The 8,880-nt window shown below is 35.5% G+C and overlaps 1 long non-coding RNA gene across 2 annotated transcripts; it reads right to left on the bottom strand.

Annotated features, from left to right (window-relative positions):
* Positions 1 to 5,054: 5,054 nt before the first annotated feature.
* LOC105377239 (uncharacterized) lies at positions 5,055 to 8,392 on the bottom strand. 2 transcript variants are annotated; one of them, XR_938665.3, is made up of 3 exons: positions 8,214 to 8,392; positions 7,487 to 7,551; positions 5,055 to 5,155 (listed from the first exon to the last, which is right to left on the bottom strand). It is a non-coding gene; the product is annotated as an uncharacterized LOC105377239 (long non-coding RNA). The 2 variants fall into 2 exon arrangements; XR_938666.3 differs by having other exon boundaries at positions 7,514 to 7,551.
* Positions 8,393 to 8,880: the final 488 nt, after the last annotated feature.

The raw sequence follows: 8,880 nt of genomic DNA, 5'->3' as shown, positions 1-8,880 counted from the left end.
ACAGTTCAAAGAAGAAATCAAAAGGGAAATTACAAAATATTCTGAGGTGAGTGAAAATGAAAATACAGTATATAAGAATTTGTAGGATGCCACTAATGTTTGGCATCTAATACTAATACTAATGGAACTGTATAACACCAAATACCTATTTTACAAAAAAAAAAAAAAATGATTCAAGGCAATGACCTCAGGATCCATCACAAGAAATAAATAATAAAAACAAGAGTGCACATTAAACTCAAAGGAAGCAGACAGTAGGAAATAATAAAGATCAAAAGAGAAATCAATAAAATAGAAGACAAAAATAGAGAAAATCAACAAAAACAAAGTTGGTTTCTTGACAAGAAAAATAAAATGGAGTTGGGCACACTGGCTCATGCCTGAAATCCCAACACTTTGGAAGGCCAGGGCAGGTGGATCACCTGAGGTCAGGAGTTCTAAATGAGCCTGACCAATATGGTGAGACACCATCTCTACTGAAAAATGCAAAAATTAGCTGGGCTTGGTGGTGCACACCTGTAATCCCAACTACTCAGGATGTTGACGCAGGAGAATTGCCTGAACCCAGGAGGCGGAGGTTGCCCCATTGAGCCGAGATCAACCCATTGCACTGCAGCCTGGGCAACAAGACTGAATCTCCATCTCAGAGAGGAAAAAAAAAAAAAAACAAAGCAAAAGAAAATGGATAAATCTCAAGATAGATTGATTAGGAAAAAGGAGAGATCAAAATTTTTCACATTAGGAATGAGAGAATGGGTATCAGTGGTTTCTAAGATATTAAAAAGTATAAAAAGGGAATATCACTTGTAAAATTTTATGCCCATAAATTTTACAATGGAAATGAAATTAACAAATGTCCTAAAACATATAAAATATCAAAGCTCAGTCACAAAGAAACAGATAATAGCCTTATATTTAAAAAAAAAAATCAATATAGGGTGTGCACGGTGGCTCACGCCTGTAATCCCAACACACTGGGAGGCTGAGACAGGTGGATCATCTGAGGTCAGAAGTTCAAGACCAGCCTGACTAACATGGCAAAACCCTGTCTCTATTAAAAATTCAAACAAATTAGCTGGGCATGGTGGCACACACCTGTAATCCCAGCTGCAAGGGAGACTGGGGCAGAAGAATTGCTTGAACCCAGGAGACAGAGGTTGCAGTGAGCTGAGATCGCACCACTGGGCTCCAGCCTAGGTGACAGAGAGACACTCCATCTCAGAAAATAAATAAATGTACAAATAAAAATAAATGTAAAAATTTTCAATTTGTAGTTAGAAATCTTCCCACAAAGGAGATTTGAGACCCAGATAGCTTTGCCAGTGAATTCTGCCAAACATTTAATGAAGAAATAATACCAATTCTATACAAACTATCCCAGAGAACTTATGAGGCAGGGAATATTTGTAAGAGACCAGAATTACCATGGCACAAAAACCTTACTAAGATGTTAACAAAAAAGCAAACTATAGGCCAAGATTCTTCATGAATATAGAAGAAAAAAATTAAAATTTTAGCAAGCTGAATTCAAAATCTATAAAAAGAATACAATATCATGATAAATTGGGATTTTACTTCCTAGGAATTCAGGATGATTTTACACTGAAAATAAATCAGTACAATTCTCCATGTTAGCAAAGAGATAAATCACATGATCATCTCAAAAGACACAGAAAAAGCAGGTAACAAAAATCTAACATGTATTATTAAATAAAAACTTTCAGCAAACTAAGCATAGAAAAGCATTTCCTCAAACTGATAAAGGGCATCTGTGATGGTTAATACTGAGTATTAACTTGACTAGCTTGAAGGATGCGAAGTAGTGTTCCTGGGTGTGTCTGTGAGGGTGTTGCCAAAGGAGATTAACATTTGAGTCAGTAGACTGGGAGAGGCAGACCCACCCTCATTCTGGGTGGCCACAATCTAATCAGCTGCCAGCACAGCTAGAATAAAGCAGGCAGAAGAACATGGAAGAACTAGACTTGCTGAGCCTTCCGGCTTTCATCTTTCTCCTGTGCTGGATGCTTCCTGCCCTCAAACATCGGAGTGCATGTTTTTCAGCTTTTGGAGTCTCAGGCTTGATGCCAGTGGTTTGCTAAGGGCTCTCAGGCCTTCGGCCACAGACTGAAGGCGGCACTGTTGGCTTCCCTATTTTTGAGGTTTTGGGGCTTGGACTGGGCTTTCTTGCTCGTCAGCTTGTAGACGGCCTATCATGGGATTTCACCTTGTGATCATGTGAGTCAATACTCCTTAATAAATTCCCTTTCATATACACATCTCTCCTATTAGTTCTGTTCCTCTGGAGACTCCTGAATAATACAGCATCTATGAAAAATCTATAGCTAAAAACTTACTTCATGATAAAAGACTGAATGCATTTCCTCTGTGATCAGGACTAAGACAAGGATGTCTGCTCTCACCACTTGTATTCAACCTTGTGCTGGAGATACTGGAACATATAATCAGACATGAAAAAAATGCATCCAGAATGGAAGAAATAAAACTGTCTTTATATATAGCCAACATGACTATCTATCTAGAAAATCTAATAGAAACACAAAAAAGTTAGAAGTAATAATTGATTTTAGCTAAGGTTTTAGGATAAAATATCAATAAAAAATCAACTGTATTTCTACAGACTAGCAAAGAACAATCACAAGTTGAAATTTTAAAAATACTTTGAATAACATAAAAATATGAAATACATAGGGATAAATCTGACATAAAATGTGAAAGATGTGTACACTATAAACTATAATACATTGCCAAAAGAAATTAAGGACCTATATAAATGGAGAGATAGACCATGTTTATGGATTAAAAGACTCATTATTATTAATATGCCAATTATCTCCAAATTATGGATTCAATGGAATCACAATCAAAACCCTAGCAGACATTTTATAGAAATTGACAAGCTGACTCTAAGATTAATGTGGAAATGAAAAGGAACCATACTAGACAAAACAATTTGGGAAAAGAAGAACTAGGCGGATTAACACTGTCTCACGTCAAGACTTATTACTAAGCTACAGTAACCAAAATAGTGGGTATTGACATCACAATAGACAAGGGATATCATTAAAAAATATAGAGAGCCCAGAAAGAGACCTAAATATATATGGGGTGTGTGTGTGTGTGTGTGTGTGTGTGTGTGTGTGTGTGTGTGTCTGTCTGTCTGTCTGTGTGTTTGTGTTTACAAATGTGCAAATGTAATTAAGTGGAGAAAGGACAGTCTTTTCAACAAATGGTGCTAGAATAATTGGTTACCATATGCAAAATCCATACTTCACACTATACCTAGAAATGAACTGAAAAATGGGTCACAGGCCTAAGTTAGAAACCAAAAACGATAACATTTCTAAAAGAAAATCTTTGTGACTTTGCACTGGGCAAAGATTTCTTAGCTGTAACACCAAAAGCATGATCCATAAAAGAACAAACTGATAAACTGGATTTCATCAAAATTCAAAACTTCTGTTCTTCAGATGATGCTACTAAGAGAATGAGAAAACAAGCCAGACTGGGAGAAAATATTTGCACAGAATATGTCTGATAACAACCTTCATCCAGAATGTATAAAGTACTCTCAAAATCGAGTTAGAAAAACAATAAAACAATGGGCAAAATACTTGAACAGATACTTCCACAAAGAAGATACAGGGATGGGAAATAAGCATATGAAAAGATGTTCAAAATCATTAGTAGTTAGGAAAATACAAGTTAAAAGCATTATATGCCTACCACAATAGCTAAATTTAAAAAGATTGACAATACCAAATGTTGTCAAGGAGGTGGAGGAATTAGAACTGATATACTGTTGGAAACGAAAAATGGAAAACCTGCAGTTTCTTAAAAAGTCAGACGTATTCCTGCTATGTGATCCAGCACTTGTATATCCAAGAGAACTAAAAGCGTATCATAAAGTGACTCATATATAAATGTTTATAGCAGCTTTATTTGTAAAAGTCTCACACTGAAAACAACCCAAATGTCCATAACAGGTAACTAGATAAAGAAATGTTGGTGTATTCATACAATGAAATACTATTCAGCAAAAAAAAAAAAAAAAAAAAAAAAAAGTCTATGGATACATACAACAATATGAATGAATGTTAAAGTAATTATGCTGAATAAAAGAAGCCACACCAAAATAAACTACTTATTGTATTATTACATTGGTATATGCCTCTAGACAATTAAAACCAATCTGTATGACAGAAAGGAGATCAGTGGTTGCCTGAGAAGAGGGTACATGGAGAGAGACAGGAAGGAGAGATTACAAAGGAGCACAAGGATACCTTTTGGGATGATGTTTATGTTCACTATATTGATCGGCTTCATGGGTATATACGTATGTCAAAACTTATCAAATTGTACACTAGATACATATGCTGTTTATTTTATGTCACTTATACTTCAAAATGCTGTTAAAACTCTCACCAAATTAGGTATGCAAGGAATGTTCCTCAACAGAATAAATGCCATATTGGACAAGCCCACAGCCAACATCATACCCAATGGTAAAAAGCAGAAAGCTTTTCTTCTATGATCAGGAACAAGGGTGCCCACACTCACCACTTCTATTGTGCATAGTACCACAAGTGCTACCTAGAGCAGTTAGGCAAGAAAAAGAAATAAAAAATATCCAAATCAGAAAGGAAGAAGCAAAATTGTCTCCGTAGATGACATGACCTTGTATACAGAAACTCCACCAAAAAACTGTTAGACCTAAAAAGAGAATTCAGTAAAGTTCCAGAATACCAAAATCAACATTAAAATTGAATTGCAATTCTTTCATTATTATTATTATTATTATTATTATTATTATTATTATTATACTTTAAGTTTTAGGGTACATGTGCACAACGTGCAGGTTTGTTACATATGTATACATGTGCCATGTTGGTGTGCTGCACCCATTAACTCCAACAATGATAGACTGGATTAAGAAAATGTGGCACATATACACCATGGAATACTATGCTGCCATAAAAAATGATGAGTTCATGTCCTTTGTAGAGACATGGATGAAGCTGGAAACCATCATTCTCAGCAAACTATCGCAAGGACAAAAAACCAAACACCGCACGTTCTCAATCACTGGTGGGAATTGAACAATGAATTGCACTTCTATACAGCACCAACAAATTATCTGAAAAAGAAAGAAAGAAAACAATCCTACTTACAATAGCAACAAGCACAATAAAATTACTTAGGAATACATTTAACCAAGAAGTTTAAATATCAGCATATAAAACACTGAGAAAATAAATTGAAGATGACACAAATAAAAAGAAAGACATCACATGTTCATGTATCAGAATTAATATTATTAAAATATCCATACTACCCAAGGTGATCTATAGGTTCATTGCAAACTCTATCAAAATTCCAATGGCAGCATTCTTCACAGATAGAGAAAAAATAATTCTAAGATTCATATGGAACCACAAAAAAACCTGACCAAAGCAATCTTGAGAAAGAAGAGCGAAGCTGGAGGCATCACATTTCCTGATTTCAAACTATGTTACAAAGCTATGTTAATCTAAAGAGTATGGTACTGGCATAAAAACAAACACATAGACTAATAGAACATCATGAGTTTGAATGGTACAGGTCCACTTATATGTGAATTTTCTTCTGTTTCTGTCACATCTGAGACAGCAAGACCAATCCTCCTCTTCCTTCTCTTCCTCAGTCTACCCAATAGGAACACAAGGAGTATGAAGACCTCTCCGCTTTGACTTAAGGAATAGTAAATATATTTTCTTTTCCTTATGATTTTCTTAATAACACCATCTTTTCTATAGTTTACTTTAGCGTACAAATACAGTATATAATACATATACAAAATACATGTTAATCAAGTGTTTACGTTATTGGTAAGGCTATTGGTCAATAGTAGGCTATTAGTAGTTAAGCTTTTGGAGAATCAAGTTTTAAGGCCAAGGTAATTCAAGGCCCAGTCTGGGAAACATAGTGAGACCCCATGCCTTAAGAAAAAGTTATATGCTGATTTCCGACTATGCAGGGGTCAGTGCTCAAACTCCACGCTGTTCAAGGGTCAACAGTGTATTATATGCAGAATATAAGAGAGTTGAACTCATCAAAACATAGAGTACCATGGCAGTTGCCAGGGAATGGCGGTGGGGGAAATGGGTAGATTTTGACCAAAGGGGACAAACTTTCAGTTATAAGATGAGCAATTTCTGAGAATCTAATGTATAGCATGGGTGATAATGTATGTATTAATTAATTTGATTGTAGTAATTATACAATGTATTAGGTTGGTGCAAACTAATTGCACCAACCTAATTTAGGCATATCAAATAATTGCATTGTACACCTTGAGTATATACGCTCTTTGTCAATTAAATAAATAAAAATAAAAATGGTCAGATGAGTTTAATAATTAAGAATCTGAAAGAGGGAAAAGTCAGTTAGAATTTTGCTTGTAGTTACAGAATAGAGCCAAATATGTAAAATTTCCCTGTTCAATTAAAAATCACTAAAAAACTAACACTAATATGAATGTATGCTAATTCTGCAATGGTTTTGTACAGTGTGGTCATCTACAAGTTCAAATGCTACACAAGTATTCAAAAAATCATTGGGAAAGTGTTTCTAGTCTAATGCTAAGTGAGTAAAGGAGACTGAAAAATTGTGCCTAAACCTATGGGTGACAACTTTCCTTCTCACTATTAAAACTTGTTTCGAGCAATACTTTGTAATAAAATAGGAATGGAAACATTTTAAGGCTATTAACTTTTAATCAATGACTTAAAGACAGTCACTTATTTTTTTTTCTAAACTATTCAAAACCTAAACAGGTGGTATGGAGGAAAGACCTGCACTTTTTGAGGAGTTTGAATAATCAGGCAATTGACCACATCAAACAAATTAATCTCTAGGGAGAGGCTGAAAATCCCTTCTCCAAAATGCTTGAAACCAGAAGTGTTTCGGATTTGGCGGTTTTTTTGTTTGTTTGTTTTTGATTTTGATTTTGGAATATTTGCATATATATAATGAGATATCTGGGAGTGAGACCCAAATCTAAACATGGAATTCATTTATGTTTCATATATACCTTAGGCACATAGTCTGAAAGTAATTTTATACAACACCTTAAATAATTTTGTCTATGAAACAATGTTTTTGTACACTGAACCATCTGAAAGCAAAGGTTTCACTATCTCATATTAGCACTGAAAAACTTTCAGATTCAGGGGCATTTCTGGATTTGGGATTTTTGTATTAGGATGCACACATCCTGTACTGATTTTAAAAGAAGGCTTTCCTGGGAATGATGCAGCCCAATAGAAATGGCAACTACCATTAAAAGCAAAAAGCTAGATTGAAATATTATCAGAATAAGTTGCCACATCACTCATTATTCACTAAAACACTTCTATTCAAAAGGCCCAATTTTTGTAGATTCCTGAAGTAGGACTTGACACCAGGTATCACAAATTTACAAACTTACCACTTCAGCGTTTTAAAACTTTCTTACCAGGATCCCTGGTCTTCTGGGTGCCATGGAAACTCCAACTAGAAAAGAAAATGAAATTCCCTTCGGCTGGAAACTGTTCGTGTCATTCCTGAGCCCCCCTAGGTGTCTATTGTAGATTATATAAGCTGCAGTTCGCAAATGCACTTTGCATTTGTTCCACAAACCCTGTTGAATGCTTGTTTTGTAGGAGGTTCCACATGCTGGGCAAAGAAGAATGAATAAAACACAGTCTCTGCCCTGGAAGAATTTACAAAGAAATAGTGGTACTACAGGTGCTGTGGAACAGCACAGAGTGTGTAAATGTTAGCTTAATGGTATCTTTCTAACATCAAACTTTTTTATTTCTTCTGTTTTCACACTCTCATTGCAAAAAACTCAAACAATTCAGAAAAGAATAAAGAAGAAAATTTAAAACTCTTTGAAATCCTACCATCAAGTAATAAGCATTGCTAACATTTGATGAACATCTTTCTTAAGCATTCATGTACTAAAAAAATGAGAATTACACCCTAAACGCTATTTTTATAAACTCAGTGCTATTTTTCAACATTCCTTTTCCTAATCAGGAGCATGTAGTAGATCTCATGAGATGCTGCATCTTTTTCTTAATGTGATGTCAGCTATTATCATTTATATGCATTGGCCTGTCATAAAAGTCTGCAGAATCTAACTAAAGCCACCTAGGTTCATTCACCTCTACCTTATCTTGCAGGTGCTGCCTCTTGTCCCAGTGTGGAAGGAACCCTGACCTTGCAATTGAAAGGCCTTGCTTCTGGTGCTGACCACGTTCTGACCCTCAGCCATCCCTTAAACCTCCCTAAGTTCCAATGTTCTCTTCTGTAAAACGAGGGTTGTAAATATTTGCCCTGCCTGCCTTCTTCCCACTGGCTATTCCCTCTGCCAAAAACTGGGCTACTTGACCTCCAGGAAGCTTGCATATGTGTCACTCTTTATTCTCCTTATCATCTTTCTCCTTCACTAGAACATAAAGCACTACAAGGGCAAACATTTTTGTATGCTTTGTTTCCCGATATTTCTGTCTAGAACAATGTCTAGTGTAGTAGATGACAAACAAATGCTTGCTGAATTAATTGGACAGAGCTGAACAGAGAATGGGAGGTGGGAAGACTGCCTCGCCACACAACTCTGGGGGAATCCTTCACATTGTAGTCCATGTGATGGCATCTCCTGGAAGTGTGCAACTGCACAGGCTTCACAGCTGTGCGGCAACCCCAACAACAACCGTGGAAGTACTCTGTCAAAGAGTATGAATTATTAAATAAAAATATTTTTTCTAGTAATGAAAAAATGTGAAAACAAATAAAGGAAAAAAATCATCTCAAATTCTTCAACCTAGTGATAATATC

This window comes from Homo sapiens, chromosome Y (assembly GCF_000001405.40).
Source record: "Homo sapiens chromosome Y, GRCh38.p14 Primary Assembly".
NCBI classification, from domain to species: domain Eukaryota; kingdom Metazoa; phylum Chordata; class Mammalia; order Primates; family Hominidae; genus Homo; species Homo sapiens.
Note: the sequence above shows the minus strand (reverse complement) of the source record. Positions and strands in the feature narration are given on the sequence as shown.